We start from the raw sequence: 23,887 nt of genomic DNA on the forward strand, positions 1-23,887 counted from the left end.
ACCAATATTTAGCTGGTATGCAAAGATATGGCTGTACTGCAATATCTCCTGATTGTCAAGTAAGCCCCTCTCATAAGCCCTCCAAATACGCCCTCCCCCTATACCCCTGCAGATTTATCTGCCCTAGTCTGCCTCTGGGATCCCCACCACGCCTCCTCTGCATGATCCAACAACTGAAGGGTTAATGCCTGATACAGCCAGAGGCCTCCAGAGTCCTAGCTCACTTCAGTTGGCTTCTATTTTGAGTTCTAACTGGCCCATTATACATATTTTATCAATGGGTACATTGAAGTACAGAGGAGATAAGTAAAGTCACTAATCTTGTAAATGGAAATCCTAAGAAATCAAACTTCAGATTCATATGCTCAGGTTTGTTCCTTCACACGGAACTTCTCCTTAAACACTGATTAGAAAAGCTAACAAAAGCCACTTGGGTTCTGTAACTCTGTGGCCAATCACCCGAACACTAGCAGATCTACAGTTTCTGATCAATTCAGGAAGTAACCTAGAACATCTCAGGTTCAGTGTCTTACCTGCCTTCCCTCATTCTTATTCTCCATGGCAATTCTACCCATGAAAATCATTTAAACACTAGTTGGTCCAAATCCTTTTATCCTCACTTCCAGCACCAAAGTCTAACAACCTAAGCACTGGACCAGAATCCTTAAGATGAAGTCTTCTTCTTCATCTTCATCTTAACAGCATTCAGCCACACTGTTAAGTACCTATTACTTCTGTCTCTGTTTCACAAACTAATAAGAGGAATAGAAAGATGTTAACATCTGTGCAAAAATGAGGTAATTCATGGTCTTACACATGAATACTAAAGAGAAAATGAGAATAACATAGGGGACAGATCCCATAGTGACAATAAAAATCCAGAGAGGGGCATTTTAAAAGATCCATCTTAAATTACAGACACATGTCTGGACTTAACATGTGGGAAGTGAGGGTGGTATCTCCCTGAACGCTCAAATTTACTTTTTAATTGTGCATTCTGAGCTGCAAAGACCCCCTTGGCTTTCCTTGAAATGTAAACATTTAAAATTAAGTTCTGAAGTCTTTAAAATAGTGTTTAGTTAAAGATTAAGCAGTTACATAATTGGCTTAATGAGATCCAATTACAAAATTAGTGTAAACTAGAAGTAATAGAACAGAACATATAATTTCATAATTATGACACATAACAATAATGCAGAAATTAAGTTGGCCAGTGGTGCTAAAGCAGGAGGGGTGCATAGAAATCTTAGAAGACTCGATGGCTTTCATGAGCCCAAACATCTCCCCTCCAACAGTTACTGCTCAAAAATATGTTTTAACTAAACAAGACTGATTTTGATTTCCAGACTCAGAAAACAACATTTGGGAAATTGCTAGTTCTTTCCCCTCCTTATGTGGCTAAAGTACTGGGTGACTAGATGGGTAGATTTATTTCCTATCTCATTAAAGTATGACCTTTCTTTTTAAGGTCTTAACAGATCATGGCAAGGAGGAATTCATTCTTAAGGGTGAGTTATGCTGAAAACCCCACCAGTGTGCATCCCCACCCCTCTGCTAGGAGAGCAGGGGAAGGCCTACTCCTGTGGGAGGGAGAGGCTGGGTTGGAGAGACACGATGAGAGAGGCCACAGATGGATTAATGTGCCTACAGCCTCATCTTTCAAATCAGCCCTCTGATTTGGGTCAAGGGACATAACCCTTCCTGCTGTATTTTTATCCTTCAGTTTTCAAAAGAAGGGACAGATAGCATTTGACTAATGAGAAATTTGTGTTGCAATGTCTCACATCTATCTTGGTATATCTTTCTGTAAATTATGTCCAACTCCCAGAGGGCTAAAAAGAAACCATTCATTTATTTATTAATTCACCTATTATTTATTCATTCAATAAATGTTTTGAGTTTCGTGGGAGAAGAGGCAATTTCCTATTTATCTTTATACAGCAAATCTTTAGCACAGGTGCCAGCATACAGAGACATTCAATGTTTAGTGAATTGCTGTTAATACATATTACAGATATTACCTGCCCTGGTATTGTGCATAACAAAGATTTTCTCTATACCTGATTATAGCTTTCAAGAAACTTATATTTTAGTTACGACAGACAATTATTATGTTAACAAAAACATGAGTTAAATTGTCTTCATCAACACTGCTGCAATGTCAGAGTGCAGTTGTTAATCAAGAGAAAAATAAATAGACGAGTTTGCAACTGTGATGCAGTAAAAGGAGGAAACGGTTCCCGAAAACCCATGGCCATGACATGGGGAGGGTGGCCATCCAGGTCTCACTAGCAGCCCAGTGCTGTCAGAATACTTGTGGAGGCAGCAGCTCTCCAGACACGCATGCCGCCTGCTCTTATACAGACCTCTGGTTTGGATCCTGCTATTTTTCAAATTAAGTACAAATATCCGTTAATATACCTCAGCAAATGAACACTGGTAATCTGAAAATGACCCCAAAATGTTAGAGAAACATCTAAAAGTCTTGGGTATTTTTTCTAATGATGTCTATTTTTGTTTGTTCCTCCTCAGTCATCATCCTTTGCTTAATGGGAGAAGCAAAGGGGCTTAGTGATGCTCAAAGGCCATTATCAGTATGGGATGGAGGATTTATCCTTTCATACCTTTTCCTCTAGTTTTCTAAATTTTCTTTTATTATTTTTACTTTCCTGTATGGTCGCTCCTTTTCCCTTCTTACTTTCTGTTCCCAGCAAACACTAGCTCAAAATATCATTTATTTTATCAAACATGAGGGTTTACATCCCCAAAATACCTTGATCTACTCATATTTCCCTGAACAATATCCCAGAAGATGCTCCATGTTAATTCAAATAATCAAACAGTGGCTATTTAAATAGCTTGGTTTAGAATTTGAAGGTAAGGCTAGGTGCTGTGGCTCACACCTGTAATCCTAGCACTTTGGGAGATCGAAGCAGGTGGATCACTTGAGGTCAGGAGTTTGAGACCAGCCTGGCCAATGTGGTGAAACCCTGTCTCCACTAAAAATACAAAAATTAGCAAGGTGTGGTGGTGCATGACTGTAGTCCCAGCTACTTGGGAGGCTAAGGCAGGAGGATCTCTTGAACCTGGGAGGCAGAGGTTGCAGTGAGCCAAGATTGTGCCACTGCACTCCAGCCTGAGCAAAAGAGCAAGAATTTGTCACACACACACACACAAAAAAAAAGAATTTGAAAACAGAGGTAAGAAAGTTTTAAGTTTTGATTAATATTTCAGACCCCGATCCTATTATTGGATGGATACAAAGACACATATGTGTTTCCTGCGATTCTAACCCTTAGAAGCAATGTATTACTTTATTTACAATGTATGTTTGATATAGTATGGATATCTGTCCCCTCCAAACTTCATATTAAAATGTCATCAATAGATACAATATTCTCTATTATCTGAATTTTACAAATGAAGAAACTGAGGTGCTATGGCTTGGATATGGTTTGTCTCCTCCAAACCTCATGTTGAAATTTGATCCCTGGTGTTGGAGGTGGGGCTTAGTGGGAGGCTTTTGGGTCATGGGGGCAGATCTTTTATGAATTGTTTGGTACCCTCCCTACAGTAAGGAGTGATTTCTCACTCTATTAGTTCACTCTGGACTTAGTTGTTAAAGACTTCCCTCCCCTCTCTCTCGTTCTCTCTCTTGCATGTGACACACCTACTCCCACTTCACCTTCTGCCATGAGTGAAAGCTTCCTGAGGCCTCACCAGAAGCTGAGCAGATGCCAGTTCCATGTTTGTACAGCCTGCAGAACTGTGAGCCAAATAAACCTCTTTTCTTTGTAAATTACCCAGCCTTAGGTATTCCTTTACAGCAATGCAAAACAGACTAACACAGTGCTTTAATGGATATTAGTATAAATATTCCTTACTGACATGGTAACAAAGCTGAAGCATTGGAGGTGAAAAAATATACAGAGGGAGGAACATTCCCAGAACTTATTCTATGTTTTTTTGTTTGTTTGTTTGTTTGTTTGTTTGTTTTTTTGAGATGGAGTCTTGCTCTGTTGCCCAGGCTGGAGGGCAGTGGCGTGATCTCGGCTTACTACAAGCTCCACCTCCCAGGTTCTCACCATTCTCCTGCCTCAGCCTCCCGAGTAGCTGGGACTACATGTGCCCACCACCACGCCTGGCTAATTTTTTTTTTTTTTTTTTGGTATTTTTAATAGAGATGGGGTTTCACCGCATTAGCCAGGATGGTCTCAATCTCCTGACCTCATGATCTTCCCGCCTCAGTCTCCCAAAGTGCTGGGATTACAGGCGTGAGCCACCACACCCAACCTCTATTCTTGTTTTTCCCATTTCTCCGAAAGGTAGGAGGCATTTTCTAAGGGTCCCAAGGTACAAATCAGATTTACATAAACAGTGTAGCAGGATTCAGATGAGTTGTTTTGTGAACTAATATGAGGAAGGACTTTTCACATTTTCCTTTGCATAAATCCATGAAAGTAAAAGCAACATCAATTATAAAGAATTTGAAACTTCTTCCAAAGCCCTATTGATAAGCACCTAAATCAACTTGTTAAGTGAACCTATTTTTAAAGAACAAAAATAAGAGTGGCAGAAAATGTCTGGAAGATTTCCTACCAAAGTTTGAAGAGTAGCTACCTCAGGAGCAGAGAAAGAGAAGAGAAAGAACAGTCTTTGAACTGAACTGTAGATGTGCTTCAACTTTCCACGTGCTACAAAATCTTCTCTCTCTCTAGGAGGATAGTCAGAAGGCCATCATTTCCACAGAGCTTGGAGTAACAGATTTTCTGAAATGGGTTTTTTAGCTACAGATTTTTAGATGTTTTCCAAAGAGGCTATTTCCATAAGTAACCTTCCATGCAAACAACTTTTCATTTCCATCAGACCTGAGTTAATATCACTCTTCCTTCTCCTGGCCATTAAAATTCAGGAATGGAGCTTGTTCTCTTGGATGTGCACTGCTTGGATGAAAATGAAACGTTTCATGTTGGAATAAGCTTGGGAGTTCTTATCCCTCTTGTCATGGCTCTGGAGAAAGCTCTGACAGAAGAGGCTGGGGAGAAACATGGATAAGTACTTGGATACTTAAAAATTCAAGTACAAGTGCCTGGTAAAATGCTGCTTTTAATGTTAAGGCCAGAGATGGGTCAACATTTTCACAGCAGTCTTCTCTTAAGGTAAAAAAGTCACCCGGTGATTTCTAGGTCATAAAATCCAAAGGCTTTGACCTGTTTCTTCTTTCTGGCCTCTTTGCAGCAATTGATGCTGTTGGACTCTGACACTGAAATCCTCAACTCTTGGCTTTAGATATACTCCTGTTCCTGGCTCTCCTTATGCCTTCTTTATTGTCTCCTTTCTTGCTTCTTTACTTGTCTTTCTTCTTTTTCCTGAATGGGGGATCCCCTGGGTTCTGTCTCAAGTTTTCTCTTCTGTCTTTATACTCTTTCCCTTTCCCCACCATTCTCTAATCTGACAGCTTCTATGGTCATTCTATGTGAACTGTCACAGTGAGAACCATCATTTACAGAGAGGATCTCTGCACTCTATGAGGCACTTTCTACACATCATCTCACTGAGTGCACAACCCTCCTGTGGGCAATGCAGCAGTTCCTCCCTTTAGATGAGGAGGCAGAAGCTCAGGCAGGTTTCAAGACTCATCCATGAAATCCAAGACCACCCAGCAGATAAGAGACAGAGCACTGGTTTGATACTCCTGGCTCCAAGGCTCAAGCTGTTGCCCCAACACTGCTCCTCCTACCCATGACTCCTGGCCTCCAGTCTCACCTCAAAATCAACAAGAATTCTTCTCTGACCAGCTTGCCTCCCTAACAAAGATACCTTCTGAAATGACCCACCGCCTTTCTCCCAATGACCAGGCACACACTGGCTGGCATCTCAGGCTCATCTTGCTCTCTTTGACTTCCCCTGCTCCTCACATATCCTCACCCCTAATCTCATCTGCTGCCAAATTCCATCTTTAACTTCCTTTCTCCTCTCCAAACCAGCCTGCACACTGCTGCCTGCCTTTTTGCCTAGGTCACATTATTCCCTTAGTTATAACCTTTAGAGGTTTCCCCTCGTTGATGAAATAACATCCAAATGCCTCTACCTTTTTTATTCAAAGTTCCAATCTACAGTTCCTGTCAGATCTCTCAGAGTTTCCCTATAAGTGGACCATGTGCCAGTGAAACTGGGCAACTCACGATCCCCTGAGTGTCCAAGTGTCTCATGTTTATGCTTTTATTCAGGCTACTCCCTCTTATAGACAGACACTCCCCATCTACAGAAATCCTCCTCTCTCGGGCATATTGCCACCCCACCCCCCATCAATTCCTTTCACCTGCTCTCATTGGATGCCACTCTCCATCTTGAAGCCTTCGCAGGTTTTCATTTGGACTTCTCTTGTAGAACCTGGCATATTCTACTTTGGGTTTGTTATTCCCCCCTTCCTCTTACTAAGCTCTATGTTCCTTGGCAGAGGGGAAATATATCATACTCTTTAGTGTATAGTATACCCAAACATCTATTCATCCAAGGCATATAACAGGAGTCTAATAAATGTATATTGATGAAACTTACTCAAACTTTGAAAAAAGACAGCAATGTGAGGTCCCATTTTAAATATAATGTTTTACATGTTTTTACCCTCAGCAAGCAGAAACAAAATGTTTTTCACAAGTGAGATCAAGAAAGTATAAATGATGACCATGAATATATATCCTTAAAATGATTACCTTTTTCCTCTGATTTAAAAGGAGGAGGAGGCAGAAAGGCAAAAGTGGAGAAGACAAACAATGTTAGGTTCTGTCCATTGTCCAATGAAGAATGCAGAGAAAACAACTTAGAGTAGAATGCAAGTCATTAATAACAAAGCATGAAAAATGCTGAAATATATAAATCCAATTTACATGTAGCTCTTTTGTGACATGTAAATATTGACAGGTAAGGTAAACTATGACTATATGAACTTATAATTATTAATATGTTATCCTCCAAAAATGTTCTTTGGTTGCTCCCTAACTACAGTCTCTTCCTAAGCAGATGATAAGTTTGCTGACATTTCAGCATTGGTGCAAATATTGGTGCTTATTAAGTGTTTTCCTTAGGACCAAGTAGCAAGGAGGATCATGAGTCATCTAAGGCCTCTTTCTCAAATGGTGAACACAATTTTGTCAGATTTTTTTGGGGGGTGGGGGGAATATCCAATCTATAGCTATATTTAATTATAAAAATGCAAACATTTATATCAGATGTAACGATACTCACTAAATGTGTACACATATACACTGAAGTTGTAACTTTAATTTCCCTTTCGGGCCAATTTGTTTTAATTTTCTATGAGACAGAAGAAACTTCAAATCATGGACAACCACATCCTCTGTCCTAATCTTGCTGAGGAGTTATAAGCAACTAGATGTGGCAGGATCAGTGCAAATTCATCAGCAACATTGGTAAATCAATCCGAAGTATGTGTTGATGGAAAATCAGTGCTCTCCCATTAGGACTGAACATCATACTATCCCCAAACACAATTCAATTTCTTAAACTCTTGATTTTTGAAATTCAAGGGATTCCTTAAGGTATGAATCTTCTGTTCATATTTAACAATGGGAAAGTTCCAGATTTCAGGAAGTGGGACATCAGCAATGATAAAAGGTATGATGTCAGAAGGTGATGAACATAACTGAGATGGTGCTAGTCATTGCAAAGAGAATCCAGGAAATATCATCTGTGCACTGGAGACTCAAATTTGGTTTGAATAACCAAGGAGTCTACTGGGAACCAATGACTTAGTCAGTGTAGATGTTCTTCAGTGATTGACAGGCCTATTTAAATGTTAACAAAAAATGATTGCTACAATCTTCATATTTTGGGAGGATGGTAGGGTAGAGAAGATGAAAGCCTAAAAGATACAATATAGTCACAAATTAAAACCTTCTGGTCACTCACCACAATCATTTGAGCCACATAACTTTCAGGTCCAGTGTATTCTGTTGGGTCTTTAACTTTCACCAGGACTATGAAGTACAAATAATGCCACATATTGTGTTCTGACTTAATGTGCTCCTCAAATGAAACCGTTTTATTATCAAACTTGTCTCTCTCAAGTCCTGAAAAACACAGGCAACACAATATATGTAATTCGTCATTTAATCAGTACTTGCTTCTTAGCATAAAAACAAAACACAATAATTATTGTGAAAAAAATGCTTTCAGTAAGAGTGTGCCAATTTAAAATGCTATGATTAAAAACAACACAGTACACAAGACCTCCAGAAAAGAGGCCATCGTTTATAGATTTTTTCCCAACTAACATTTATTTTTCCCCATGGATCCTTGGAAATGCACAGTCCTGTAATAGATGAAAAAGTTGCAGATAATTTTAAATACAGCCATATCAAAATTTTCAAATTAAACTGTACCACAAGTCTGAGAAAAAGAGGTAAAAATGATCATGCAGGAAAAGGTATGCTTGCTAATCAGGACAGAAAAAAAAAATGTCATTTTACCCAGAAACTTGGATTAAAAGAGGGAAAGAATTGAGACAGTCATCTGTTCAAAACCACTTGGAATCAGTGAAAGGAACACAAAGAAGATGGCCGTCCACACGCTGAGGACAGCAAGTGCTCAGACTATGCCAGCCCTCTAGGGTACCGTGTTCCAGGCATTTTGGGCAGGGGGTGATCTGTTCCATTTCCAGGGCACATTTTTAAGCCTTTGGAAGTACAGTAAAGAAAGCACCTAGATAATAAAATTCTTTTCTCTCAAAGTTAGAGAATAGATGAAAAGAAATGAATAGAGATGAAGAAAAACATCTATGGAAACATGAATTTGAGTGCCAAGTGAAGTGGGATGTTGGGATTCAGTTAGGTTGTTACAGCTCAGATACTGAAGAAGAAACCAGGAAACTGAAATCCAACCCTGGCTATTCTTTCTCTAAGCATTTTTTGTAAGTTCACTCAGGGATGTAGAAGACCCTTTTATTTATTTATTTTTTTGAGACAGAGTCTCACTCTGTTTCCCAGGCTGGAGTGCAGTGGCTCAATGCAGACTCAACCTCCCAGGTTCAATTGATCCTCCTACTTCAGCCTCCTAAGTACCTGGGACTACAGGCATGCACCACCATGCCCGGCTAATTTTTGTATCTTTTTTTTTTTCTCTGTAGAGATGGAGCTTCACAATGTTGCCCAGCCTGAAGACCTTTTTTAAATAATAAGATATAAAGCACAATAAGTAAAAAATCTGTCCCCATTGAAGGGGTGACTTTTTACTTACATTATTGGATATCTGTATGGAAAATACTATAAGATTCTGCTGGCTGATGGCTAGGCCTCATCTTATTTGACCTATAATCAGCTCAGCATGCCCAAATAAACTACAATTTTCTTCCCTAAACCTGCTTCACCCACAGTCCTCCCCTTTTATTCGATGGCAGCTCTGTTCTAGTTGTTCAAGCCAAAAGCCTGGACGTCATTCTTGAATCCTCTCCGCCTCTCACACAGCACATCCAATCCATGTTGAAATGCTTTTGGCTCTACCTTCAAAACATATCCAGAATCTGACCACTTCTCACCCGCTCTGCTGCTACACTCTGGTCTGGGCCATTGTCATCCCTCATGTGGATTACTGCAATAGACTCCCAGGCCCCCCTGTTTCCATCTTTACTCTCCACAGCCCATTCTCAACACAGCAGCCAGAGCAATCCTTTAAAAACCTAAGAGAAATGGTGTCTCTCTTCTGTTGTAAACCCAACAATGGCTCCTCCACCTCCTCAAGATAAAGGTCAAAGTCCTTACAAGGACCTACAAGTAGAGTTGCTAGATAAGCAACAGCATGGTCAGTTATGTTTGAATTTCAGATAAATAATAAATAATTCTTTAGTATGAGTCCCATGCAATATGTATTTGCTAAATCCTATGTGACTTGGCCTCACAGCCACACTAACCTTACCTCTCACTGTTCTCTCCCTTGCTACCTCCCATGCAACCACACTGGCCTCTTTGCTTTTTTTTTTTTTTGGAACACAGGGCCTTTGGACTTCAGGACCTTTGGAACGGTTGTTTCCTCTGGTTACAAAACTCTTCTCACTGACATCTCTTTAAGTAACTCATTCACCTTCAAATTTTTGCTGAAATCTCACCATCTCAATGTGGTTTAACCTGATCATCCTGTTTAAAAATATAACCCTTCTGCTGACCTTCTTGATCACCTTTTCCCTTTTCCTCTCTTTTTCTTATAGTGCTTACCACCTCCTTATAGACTGAATATAGCCAAATCGAAGTTATTAAATTAAATTGGATTATATCTCTAAGATAAAGAGGTAAAATGATTGTGTAAGAAAAAGCCTGTCTGATACTCAGCAAAGGAGAAAGAAATGTTATTTCATCCAGCAACTTGGATAAAAATTTATTACATTTATTATGTATTGTGTTTGTCCTCCCACTAGAGTATAAGAGCCACCTGGGCAGATATATTTCTTTTCTTCACCAACGGTCCCAAAAGCTCGGAATGATATTTGGCACATAGTTGGCACTCAATTAAATACTGATTGATTGAATTAATAATATTTCACTACTAAAATATTGTTCCACTAGAATGCCTATAACCAAAACCAGATAATAATAAGTGTTGGTGAAGATGTAGAGAAATTAGAATCCTCATGCACTGCTAACAGAAATGTAAAATGGTGCAGCAGCTACTTTGGAAAACAGTTTGGCAATTCCTCAAATGGTTAAACAGAGAGTTACCATATAACTAAGCATAACCCACTCCTGGGTATATATTCAAGAGAACTGAAAATGTATGTTCACATAAAAACTTGTACATGTTCATAGCAGCATTATTCATAATAGCTAAAAGTGGAAACAACCCCAATGTCAATTAATTGATGAAAGGATAAAATATGGTATATCCATATGACAGGATAATTTTTTACAATAAAAAGGAACGAAGTACTGATACCTGCTACAACATGAACCTTTAAAACATCCTACTAAGTGAAAGAAGCTAGGTGCAAAAGCCCACATATTATGATCCCATTTATATAAAATGTCCAATATAGGCAAATCCACAGAGGCAAAAAGTAGAGCCGAGGCAGAGATGGAAGGTTAGGGATCAGATGATGGCTAAAGGGTATGGGGTTTCTTTCTGGGACAATGAAAATGTTCTAAAATCAATTATGGTGATGGATGCACAACTCTGAATATACTAAAAACCACTGAATTGTACATATTAAATGGGTGAATTATATGATGTGTGAATTATATCTCAATAGAGCTATTAACAACAACAACAACAAAACACTAAAAAACAAAAGAGAGAAAAACAAACTAAACAAAACAAACAAAAGAGAGAAAATGTTAAAGTAGATTTTCCCAGAATTCAATTCAAACATCTACCAGTTGCAAGGTAATGGGGCTATAAAAATTAGGTTCTTACTATCAATTAATCTGTAATACGGTAGAGGAAACAGGCACGTTGCGTTATATTCTGAAGAGGTATAAACTGCCAAGGGAGCATAAAGAAGGGCAAAATGAACTCTGATGAGGGTCATTTTAAAAGGTTTCCAAGAGGTGCAAAGCTTGAAAAATCCAGCCTCAGTACATGATTATGGTAAGTGGAGAAGAAGTGAATGGTAATAAAAGGTACTTAATTTTTATTGAGCATCTATTGATGCTGACAACTATAAAGATGTCTAAATATGCTATTATAATTACAATAATCCAATCTGACCTTTTAGCATGTGAGGAAATAGATTCAGAATGATTCAATAAATTGCTCAAGTTAATATCCCTATTTAGCGGAAGAGTCAATTAGTATTTAAATAAAAATATTTCTGACTCTAAAGCCCATGTTCTTTTGCCATCTGGGCAGGAAAAATGGCATGGAAAAGCCAGAGATGAAGGTACATGACCTGTTTAGGGAATGTCAGTTACTCTGGTGTGGCAGAAAGGGAACATTTGGAGATGCAGATGAAATGGTACATCTGGCAGAAACAACGGCAAGCTTTAAACTCAAAGCTAAGGCATCTGTATTTTATTCTGAAAGCTTCTTCTTCTTCTTCTTCTTTTCCTTTTTTTTTTTTTTTTTTTTTTTTTTTTGACAGAGTCTTGCTCTGTCACCCAGGCTGGAGCGCAGTGGTGCGATCTCAGCTCACTGCAACCTCGACCTTCCAGGTTTAAGCGATTCTCCTGCCTCAGCCTCCCGAGTAGCTGGGGTTACAGGAATGTGCCACCACGCCCAATTAATTTTTGTATTTTTAGTAGAGATGGGGTTTCACCATGTTGGCCAGGCTGGTCTTAAACTCCTGACTTCAGCTTATATGCTCGCCTCGGCCTCCCAAAGTTGCTGAGATTACAGGCATGAGCCACCGTGCCCGGCCTATTCTGAAAGCTTCTGAGTAGAAACTAGTGTATTCAGAGCTATACTTCAAGTCGTTCCTGTGGCAGGATTCAGGGGAAGATTGGGATAAGAGACTAAGGATGCAAGACCCAGGCACCAGGGCAGTGGAGGGGGAAATGTAAAAGAGGGAAACTGGTTGTCTTTCATCTTCGTAAGTTCTTGCTCTCTAAGCTTCATCATCCATTCTCACGGTTTTACCATCATCTTGCTGATGTTTTCTCAATCTTTATCCCCAGTACTGACCTTTCTTCTCAATTTCCACTCCTTTTTCCAGCTGCCTGCTGTATATATCCACCTGGATAGCTTGTGGGGATGTCAAACTTAACTCGTCAAAAATGTGTTTCTTGAGCCCTCTTCTTCGTCTCTGTTAATGAAGTCCTTGTTGACCAGGGAACTTGAAGTCATTCTTAGACTCATGCACTGACATTCCACTCAGCACAGTTCTTGTAGTCATGCTGACTTTCTCATCATTCGCCAAATACACCAAGACACCTTCATCTACTCTCTTTTCTGCCTTCCAAGTATTCCTTCTTCAAGCTTCCCCACTTCCACCACCGACTCCCACAGACACAACCAGCTGTTTGATCTTCTGGGCCCACAACACTTCACTATGAAAATGTGCCTGTTTCCATCTTAGCCTCTACCATTTTACTGTCTGACTCATTTTTGCATTACCAGCACCTGGCAGTGTCTGGAGAACAGTAGGCATGCAACTAAATTTGACAGAATAATTAAATAAATGAATAAGAGAGACTGAAGAGGCATTTTGGAATGAAAACTTGAACGGGCTTGATGTCCAATTAGAGATATAGATTTAGAAGAAGGAGAAATCAGTAATGACTCTGAATTTTCTGACTTGAATAACTTGAGTTTATGATACTTGAATGACTGAGTTTATGATAATATCGCCACAGCAAGATACCCTATCCTTAGAATAGGAATTCTGACCTATCATCAAATCCTTTCTCCATTCTGTTGTTTTGTCACACCTGGTCTTTCGACATCTCTTTCTTACTGGATCTTCAGCCTCTAGTAACTCAATGTTCATAATTAATATGGATGCAAGAGCTAATCTGTGTCTCTGCTTCCTGCTCAGCTCTGTCATCTGCTAATCCTCACCCTCCAGGGCCACCTTCTGGATCACTAGCTATTGTTTTCTGAGTCATGTTTCACTTCCAAACATCTGGACATTGTCTTCAAGGCTGGGAAAGTTCCAACTAGGTCCATTGCCTGTCACAGAATCTACATCCTCTTGTCCTACTCTGGGTGTCCCTTGGCACACACCTGGAGCCAGTTCTCTCTTACTATGGAGATTCTCTCCTTTGTTATTTGGTACTATGTCCTTCTTTGGATCACAACTTCACATCCAACTTTACCAGGAACCATGTCTAGACCAGTCACTATTTTATAGCCTACTAGCACAACCCCCAAATATCCCAACCATTTAAATCATTCTTGTAACTAAGTTCTCCTAACATATATGAGATGAATTATATCATTTGTGTGGTTGGAGCTTCTGGGAATGAATGCATATCTAGATATACATTATCATAATGCTTCTTATGTGTTTCTGCTCAAGGTCCTTTAAGGGAAGGGAGCAGAAAATGTATACCTTTCTGTTACTGAGGTTACAGAAAGTAGCAGCAAAAAGTACCTGAAGCCAATTATTCATTTTTTAAAAAAGTTTCTATTTTATTTTAAATATTCACGCTGAATTTGTTCTATTTTACAATATTCTATTTGTTCTAATATAAAAATACTATTTAAATTTACACTTAGTTTAAATTACTTAAGTGTTTCCTCAGATTTCTGAATAAACATGAAGCTTCTAGAAAACAGACAATATTGATCTTACATCTCTTTGTGCATCCTGCAATGTCACCCTACATTCCTGTGGGCAGCACTCCACAGAAACAATACCCTGCATGTAACAAAATCTGGAGCAACCTGGAATCAGCACACCTGTTGTCTGCAGTATATACAATCTCAATATTTTATCTGCCTTTTGTAGATTATAAGTCAGACAAGTATAGAGACAATATCAGCCTGAGGCTGACTTATTGGATAGTCATTCATTAAGCAAATATTTATGGATATTCACCAATGCACATTATGAAAGCAAAAAAAAATGGATAAGACATGGATCTGGTTCTCTTAAAGAAGAGAAATTAACATGTGTTGAGGGCAGACCCTCAGTTAAGCCTCGTGCTAGAGATTTTGATATACATGATCTCATTTATACTCATCACAACACCAAACCGTGGCATTATATTCCTCATTTTCCAGGTGAGGGAACAATAGCTCAGGATGATTAGAAACTTGGCCAAGATCACATAGCAAGGATGCAGAACCAGTGTAGACCTATGACTACTTGTCTATAAAGTTCATGCATTTTCTTTGATATGAGAATGCATGGCATCCAGCAGAGGTGATCAGACAACAGAAATATGTACAGTGCTATATAGCTAAGTGTGATGTGAGGAATTTAGGGTCCGATGTGTGAGATCGGAGAAGACTTCTAGAACAATGGCATTAGAGCTGGGCCTCAGAGAGAGGGCAGGAGTTCAACAGCGTAGGAATTGGGGCATTCCAAATGAAATTGTTCTCCCACAACTAAGAATACATGGAGAGTCTGGGAAGTTAAAGGTAAGTAATGTAGTTGCCCTGGAACTTGAGCTATAAATGGGAGAACAACAGGGGAGAAGGTAGGCAAAAAAAGAAGGGGCCAGATTGTGGGGGTAGCTTAGATGCCAGGAAAATTCAAGTTACAGAGTTATAGACTGTGCAATGTTATTGATGGCTTTTTGAGTAAGGAAATGATTAATTCAGAGTGGAAAAATTAGTCTGGCAACACCGAGCAGACCATTTGGGGTTGTGAGCCCGGGTTAGCCTGAAAAACTAAGATGTGGCTGTGGGAATGTGTGGAAGGATGTGGGTGAGATTGTGAAGGTGGGTTCATTAGCGCATGGTAGCTAGGGCACCTGGAAGAGAAAAAAGGAGATGCTAAACATGATGGTGTGGTTCCCTCAGATAACTGAAGGCACTGTGGGATATTACTAATAGCAATATGGATGTCAGGAAAAAGAGCTAGGCTAGAGGAGGGAGACAGAAAGGGATGATGGACTGGCTTCAGACATGGCCGGTTTGGCTGCCGGGAAGACATGCCTGTCTAACTGTCCAGTGAGTGACTGAAAACAGAGGGGAAAGCCTGGGGAAAGGTTGGAGCTGAGCATGCATACTTGGCAATAATCTACATAAAAGTGATGTCAAAGAGGAGGACAGAGAGGAGACAAGGAGTCAAGGGCAAAATCAAAACCTTCTATTAAGGGGTTTTGGGAGACGGAATAGGACCCTGTGACCCAGAGAAAGCAAGCAGAGGGAGAATAAAAGGTCAGCGGGAAGTTAACAGTGAGATTCAAGAACACTTCAATTTGTTGATGACAGTTATTGTGATGTTTAAAGGAATTTATAGGTGACTGGCTTTTTAATAACTGTGAAAAGCCAAAGAGAATTCTGACCGAGAAGGGAAAGCTTAGAGGAGCAGGAATCTTGGGTAAGCAATGGGCTTACGTTGCTGTTCATGTTTTTGGTTAAAATATAGGAGACAATATCATGTCTTAGAATGAGGCTTCCAGCCTCTGGTCCATTCTTCCAAAGAGCATCTCTTTCAGAGGTAGTGTACCAACATGATGATGATTATGACCGTGAAAAAAAGGGCATGGAGGAAGAAGCAGTGCAAAAGAAAGACCACGAGATACACAGAGAGGTTTCTGAGGGCAGCATCATTCTCCTGTATGGGACTCACCCTTCTAAACAACAGCTTGGCCCCATAACGCTATACCCTTCCACCAGGATCTGTTCTCAGGCTTGGTTATGCTTGAATGAGAACCTGTCACTTTGTCATTTTAGAATAGGATAGCTGAGTGGACTTTTGAGTTAGGTAGTCCTCCGCTCAAATCTTGGCTCTTCTGCTTACTAACTGGATGTTGACGGGAGCCAAGTCTCTGTTTCCATGTTTGTAAAGGAGTGGTAATATACATCATACATAGTATTCATTTTTTAAGAATAAAATGAAAAGAAATACCTAAGTGAAAAGCCAGACATGTAGTAAGTATTCAATAAATAATCATTTAAAAATTTTTTTATGATAAGGCTGAAAGAGGACAGAGCTCCAGGTGAGGTGACCCAAGGGAAGAAAGAATCATCCTTGGAAAGCCTGAAGGATCTGCTGAGAAGAAAAGAAAGGAGACACACATACATCTATTGTGAAGAAATGGAGGTGGTGATAGCTGTCACATAAAGAGAAAAATAGAAAAAAAAATACAGGGTGTGGGTTATTTTTCTATAAAGGTAGGAGGAGGTATATTTATCTTCCAAGGTTGATGGAGTGTCCTCTCAGCCTCTTCCTGATCTCTCTCAGTTTCCTTCTAGCAAATCTCTACTCAGCACTGCACAATCCACTCTACCTAAATTCACCAAAGCCTCCTAAATGAGAAACCAGTAGGCTTTTTAGGTCATGTTACTGGCCTTCTCTGCTTGGGCAGAGTTGATAACGAATTCATTTCTTTCCAAAGCTGTTTTCTCCCCTCTCTTCCACAGGCCACCCCTTCCTGCTTCTCCTCACACCATTCTGACTTGGTACTCTGAGTTGTTGGTGTGTGCTCCTCTTTCTCTCCTAAGTCTTCAAAGCTGGGGCTTTCCACTTGTAGTCTCTCTGCTTCTCTTCTCACTCGGACACCCTCCTCCACACTCCAGATTTCACTATCACACATAGGCTGAGGATTCCCCAGTTATAGTCTCCAGCGAAGACTCAATCTCTGAGGCTCAGACTCATGAATTGATCTGTGCTGTATCCCACTGGGGTGGGTCAGTACACACTCAATTTCAGGATTCTCAAAGTTAAACTCAGCATATTCCTACCTAAATTGTTTTTTTCATCTATTCTCAAGCTCAATCACTTGTTAGTATTACCATCCACTTGGGCATCCCAGCTATCTTTCATATCCTTTCCTAAGCATCAAGATTTAAAGATTTTATCTCCTAAATATTTCTTGACTCTGCCTTCTATCCTTAATACTGCCACCACTAACTCTCCTGCTTTCATTACCTTTCACTTGGACTGTGGTAATGACCTCCTACCTGATGACTCTGCTTCTGGTACTGTTTCCTGATGAATGACCTCCCAAAGCTGCCATGGTGCTCTAAAGCAAAAAAAAAAAATAGACCCTGCAGTGTTCTACTTAAAATTCTTTAATGGTTCATCTTCCACTGTAAGTCCAGATGATAAAGTCCAAACTGCCTAATATAAAAGGCCATGCGTGGTCTGGCCAACCTCATCTCTTAGCACGCCCTGCTCTGAACTTTACGTCAGCAACACTGAGCTGCTTTAGAGTAAGTGAAGACCCTTGTACTGTTCTTCCACCTCCATGACTTTGCTTATCCTGGCCTTTCTGCTTGTACTCACTTTGATCTGGCAACCTCTCCCTTTCATCTTTTACCACCAGCTCAGTCACCATCTCTTCTAAAGGCTTTCCTGACTCTTCTTTCTCACTCCCTACCCCATGCTGGAGAGGTATCCCTCCTCTGGGTACCTGCAGCTTCCTGTAAACTTCTCTACCATTTCCTTCAATGCATGAGATATCAAGGCTATTTATTGTGTTTGTATCCCAAAATAGATCGTGAACACCCCAAAACAGGGAATGACTGCTTTCTATTTGTTTCCACTGAATATAGCATAATATTACACATTATTACCTGATACACCTACAACTGTTGGAGGAAGGTAGAAAAGGTTTGGAGAGACATTGAGGTGAACGAAACACTCAACAAAAGTTGAAGCAAGGAGAGAATGAAATGTATTGAGGACCCAATTTGTTACATACAGTAACGTTGTAGTGAACCCTTAGGCTTGTTTTGTGACTATCACCAAAAGATTTTTTTCAGCCTAATGTGGCAACAAGGAGGGTGAATGAAACCTAGAGTGGGTGATCACCCAAAGAAGAGGATAGATTCTAGGGTGCCGAGAGACCAGCTACAAAGACAACTGAAGCCAGAAAGAGGTGATGGGTACAGAGAAGAGGGCAGAGCTGAGGGGGATGATGAGGGCAATGAGAAGGAAGGAGAAGGCTGTGTGCACTAGGAGAGATGATGACAGGAGAAGGGGAGGGGAGTGGTGTGTGTGTGTGTGTGTGTGTGTGTGTGTGTGTGTGTGTAAGAGAGACAGAGAGAGAGAGAGAAATTAAAAACTGAGAGAAGGGCCGGGTGCGGTGGCTTACACCTGCAATCCCAGCACTTTGGGAGGCCAAGGCGGGTGGATCACCTGAGGTCAGGAGTTCGAGACCAGCCTGGCCAACATGGCAAAACCCCGGCTCTACTGAAAATACAAAAATTAGCCAGGTGTGGTGGTACATGCCTGCAGTCCCAGCTACTAGGGAGGCTGAGGTAGAAGAATCACTTGAACCCGGGAGGCAGAGGTTGCACTGAGCTGAGATCGTGCCACTGCACTCCAGCCTGGGTAACAGAGCGAGACTCCATCTCAAAATAACAAACAAACAAACAGAGAGAAGGCTCAGTTCAGAATCCAAAACATAGTGATGTCAGTGAGTAGAAGTTCAAGATGCTGAAAAATCATATTTGGATTCATATTCTAACAAAATTAAATGTGATTCTGTTGCATAATAAATATGTTACTGTGATTAAAAATCTGTTTGCCAGTTGGTGAAACCTTTTGGCATTTTGCATCACATTTCTATAGTCAGAGAATCATGTAAATCACAGAAATAATGACAGGATAGCTTTGGGGTATAATTCCTCTCTCTATTTATAGAAGCAGAGAATTCCAGTCTAATGCTCAGTTACATAATCTGAATTTTATCCAACCTTCATTTTGAAATAATTTTTCCGAAAGCATGAAAAATAAAAATCCCTCTAGCCCCTCTTTCCTGCAAACAGTCTATTCATCTATTATTTTAGCATCTGCCGAACACTTACCACAGATGAAACAAGTTGTCTTTAGAATTTCTTCTTTTTTCTGTTTTTCGCTTCTGAGATCAGCAAAAGTATCGATGATAACACCAAAAATCAAGTTCAGAACAATAATGATAACAATGAAATAAAAAAGAAGGTCATAAACCACTCGGGCAGCAAACAAGGGCTCCTGAAATAAAAATATTTAAAAAAATCACACTAGGCATAGTGATTGAGCACACTGTCTAGCATAGAGAGTATATTCAATAAATGTTTGTGAAATGAATATAAATAGTATCCCAAGTTGGAAAAATAAGGCTCACTTTCCATCTCTACTTTAAGTGTTGTAAGAAAAACTTCCTAGCCTATTTCCAGAACCACTTACATTTCTCTAGGACTGACACATGTCTTTCCCACAATGGTGGGACTTCACTTTCTTTAGAAAGGACTTTATTATGCCATTCTGCTAAATGCATTTTGGCACAGTGGTCTCCTATCCCAGACATTACAGAAAAGGTAGTTAAATGTCAATTCCAAAAGTCAGTGATTGGGGAGCTAAGGAGGACCTAATGACTTGTCAATTTCTGGAGTAGGCTTTATTCTTGGCCATACAGGGTCAAGTATATATAGCTCCTTCTTATTTCTTCCTGATGAACAGTGTTAAAATGCAAATTAGAGACCAGGCAATCCAGTTTTTTAACAGAAGAGGAACCTGAGGTTAAGAGGTTAGATGATTTGACAATATGATACAACTGGCCGGAGCAGAGCTAAGATTCTTCAAGCTCCCAGCCTGGCACTTGAGATTTTGCAGCTAGTGAGAAATGTTTCCACTTTGCCATTTTAATATATGAAATCCTGTTAGAATTTGCTCAAATGTTATATTTATCATAGATAAATGATGGAGGCTATTCCTATGCAGAAGCAAAGAGTAAATCTTCATGCTCAAGAAACCTGATAGGCAAGAGGCAACCTCGTTTATGTTATTTGTGTAACAATCAACTCCTATATAAAGTTCGCAGTCATGATTTCATTGCTGTAATACAATACACAGATTAACTTGGAAACATTTCACCACTCTACGAACACACAAAGAGTTGTAGTACATTAGCTATGTAATCCTAGCAAACAATTAATTGGCTTTAACAGCCATGGTTATACTTTTAAAGCAAATGGTACAATATATTTTCCTGAAAACCAAAACTAAATTATAAATGCTGTGAAGAAAGGTTTAAAAAAAAGATGTGCTCCTTGAAAAAATACTTTTACTCTGGCTTACATCTTTCGATGGCCTTCTTAGCACATCCCCCACACCACCGCCATTCCTGAGGCCCTGGTTCAGCACGGTGACAATGCACATAAGGAGAGTGTCACACGTCCTTTCAATTCCATCTTCATACTCTTCATCAGCTATAAAAACACATACAAATATATGATATAAAATTATGTAAAAATATATAAAATAAAATACACATAAAATGAAATATACATACAATAAATATACATACATATACATAAGTATGTAAATTTATACACATATGTAAATATACATACAATAAATAAATATACCTAAATATACATAAAATAAAAGATACATACAAATGTATATGAATATAATATTAAAAAGTGTAGCAAACTTACGTTTTAAAAAAATACCATTACCTCCTTCCAAAGGGCTATTTCTAATTGTGCCGTGACACAACTTTTGGAAGTCACACAGCATCTGTTCCATATGTGGCAGCACATGACTGACACATAATGATGAAGCCACATATGTAATGTCCTCAAATATTTTGTTTCTTCTATAGGTAGAAAATAACAGGACAAAAAGCACAAAACATAAGGCTCACATTCGTTGTGCTTGTTATGGTAGGAAGAGATTGTGGCAAAACCTGGAAACACAGCCACGTTACCCAGGAGGCAAAAGGACTGCAGGGGAGAGAGCGTGAACAAGGAAGCTTGCCTGGCTTCCAATTCTGCTCCGTTCCCACACTGGGACTCAGGCAAGTTGCTGAACCTTAGGATCCTCATCTGTAAAATGGGGAGGGCCGTTTGGGGGTTACACTCTTCAGAGGGTTGTTTAAGAATTACCTTTAGCCGTCCTGGGGCAGTAGCTAATGCCTGTAATCCCAGCACTTTGGGAAGCCGAGGCGGGTGGATCACTTGAGGTCAGGAGTTTGAGACCAGCCTGGCCAACATGGAGAAACCCTATCTCTACTAAAAATCAAAAATTAGCCAGGCATGGTGGTGTGTGCCTGTAATCCTAGCTACTAGGGAAGCTGAGGCAGGAGAATCACTTGAACTCAGGAGGTAGAGATTGCAGTGAGCCAAGATCACACCACTGCATTCCAGCCTGGGTAACAGAGCAAGACTCTGTCTTTAAAAAAAAAAAATACATTTAGGGTATGTAAAATATTATACTTTGCACAGAGATTGGCATACACACAATAGTTGCTTAAAAATTGGGGCAGATATTATTTCATTACTGCGGTTAAGTGTCTAAGCTTTCTCGAGGACCAACCTGGAGCTCTTGATAAGAAGCACAATGTATTTATGTGAAAAATTCTATTTAGGGATAAAGGAGGAAAGAGAAAAAGACATAATGTGACAGAAAAATTCCTATTCTTATTTTGTTTAAAGGTATTGGGATCCAACTTGAAACATAATTTCTTAGCCATTTAAAGTAGTGAAAAATTAATACTAAGTTGGATATTAGAATCAGAAATTCCTAACACTGGCAAATGACCAGAAATGTATTTTTCTCACTACAAGGTTAAAGAACCACAGGGGTGATAAATTTTGGGATTATGCAGCCACAATATGCCCGTCAAGGCATGCGTATAAAAACAAGAAGAACAATTCAGTCCAACTTTATCTACGTGCTTCATGCCTACAGTGCCTTTGATACTTCGTTAAGAAAAGGCTAATTTTCCTCTTCTGAGCCGACTTTATTTTAACATTCTATGGATAAGGGATCCTGATATTTTTACTTTCTTTGGAGCTGTTTCCTTTTAAAACATGCTGGGATACACCTTGAGAGGAGGGCTGAAGTCAGAGATGAAGGTGCAAGTGCAAAATGCAGCATCAAAGACATTGGCAGAATCTGTGCTTGGTCACTTACCTTAGCGCTGAGTCCAAGGCACATTCTGATTTAAAAAGTAGGAGAACTAGAACTCCTTTGGAGGAAGGAGAAATAGGGAAGAGGTAGGGCCTGTGGTGAGAGCAATCAGAGCAGCAGTGCAGACAAGGAAGCCAGACCAAGGGTGGGGGAAGCTCAGTCTGGAATGTGCTAGTGAGGTCCCCCCATACATGGCAGTAGATGCCAACATGATGGCTGAGAAGAATATGAGGAAAAACAGTCAGAAATGTGTAAGAGAGCAAAAGGGGCTTTTAAGGGGAAAAATCATTTTCCAATAATCAGGTCATGTGGAGCATGTCTACATGCTACTTTGCCACAACTGGACTTCCCATCACTACCGTCTATCTAGCGTCACGATCTGCATTCATTTATTCATTCAGGAACTACCTGGTCATGTCACAGGTGTTTGTTAAAGGCTTAGTAAATGCTGATTAATCAGCACATAAACGCTACAGGAGAGGGCTTCTACCTCTCTCCGAGAATTTAGAAATAAGATTGTTTGTTCTCTAACAGGTGAGCTCAGTAAAATCCACACACAATTCATGTGATTAGCTGTTGTGGAATAAAACGAATTGGCTGAAAAATCTATAATGAGAGAATTGGTTTTCTGAGTGTCATGTAAATGGGAGGAGAACACCCTGGTCAGGTCAATGCCAGCAATCATCCTGCTCAAGATAATCAGTACACATGCATGCTGATTTTATACAGAAGCCTCTATGCCCTCAGTTAATAAGGTTCTACCTTCGTGAGATGCAGCCACTCTCAATATGGTAAGCCAAGTTCCCAGGCATCCAGCCTGAAAGTCAGGCTCTGAGTCATGGTAAATTCATCTAGTAAATGCCACCTTGTGGTTACCTGTGTAATCAGCTGGCCTTGCCCATGCCACACCTGCCTCCTTTCACTACTCCAACAGCCGCTGGACGAGGTGCTAGGAATATATGAGAGAAGGATGGAAGTGTCCCATCTGTAGAAAATTTATGGTCCCTAGGAAAGGTGGGTCAGCAGCTGAACAAGGGCAGTGCAGTATCACAGGATGCTGCGGAGGCAAAACAGATGCATATCTCACAGATGAGGGCTTCAGTATCCTGAAGGGGGTATCACCTGAGTTGGATTTTGAAAGAGGGTCATGATTGGCCAGTAAAACCAATGAGGGAAGACATTCCAGGCAGATAACACAGGATGAGCAAAGGCAAACAGGCACAAAAGCATGCGGGGTGTTTTGGGAAACTCAGGAAGATGGGAATGATTTAGACTTTGGTAAACACAGAAGGGTGTGGGAGGTGAGAGAAGAAACGCAAGAGGGTACCAGGTCATAAGGAGACTCACACATCAAGCTGAAGAATTTAAACTTAATCTTGAAATTAGGGGGAGGCACTGGAAGACTTTCAACAGGGTAAGTTG

General features: G+C 40.0%; 1 protein-coding gene and 1 long non-coding RNA gene across 7 annotated transcripts in view; one reads left to right on the forward strand and one right to left on the reverse strand.

Moving 5' to 3' along the window:
* Positions 1 to 23,887, forward strand: part of ITPR2-AS2 (ITPR2 antisense RNA 2) — a 103,881-nt gene that overhangs the window by 60,578 nt on the left and 19,416 nt on the right. Inside the window, exon 2 of the long non-coding RNA NR_199072.1 lies at positions 21,156 to 21,350. This is a non-coding gene — a long non-coding RNA (ITPR2 antisense RNA 2). The remainder of the gene's footprint in view (positions 1 to 21,155; positions 21,351 to 23,887) is intronic.
* ITPR2 (inositol 1,4,5-trisphosphate receptor type 2) overlaps positions 1 to 23,887 on the reverse strand; it is a 497,843-nt gene that overhangs the window by 44,150 nt on the left and 429,806 nt on the right. For 5 of the 6 annotated variants that reach the window (NM_001414174.1, NM_001414175.1, NM_002223.4 and 2 more), the window contains 3 exons: positions 20,627 to 20,757; positions 19,375 to 19,540; positions 7,933 to 8,093 (listed from right to left, as the gene is read on the reverse strand). In NM_001414174.1, the coding sequence (NP_001401103.1) occupies positions 7,933 to 8,093; positions 19,375 to 19,540; positions 20,627 to 20,757 (458 nt within the window). Of the gene's footprint in view, positions 1 to 7,932; positions 8,094 to 19,374; positions 19,541 to 20,626; positions 20,758 to 23,341; positions 23,523 to 23,887 lie in introns of those variants that run through there. The other variant, XR_001748686.3, reaches the window with a different exon arrangement.

The sequence above is a fragment of the Homo sapiens genome, chromosome 12, assembly GCF_000001405.40.
Source record: "Homo sapiens chromosome 12, GRCh38.p14 Primary Assembly".
Taxonomy (NCBI): domain Eukaryota; kingdom Metazoa; phylum Chordata; class Mammalia; order Primates; family Hominidae; genus Homo; species Homo sapiens.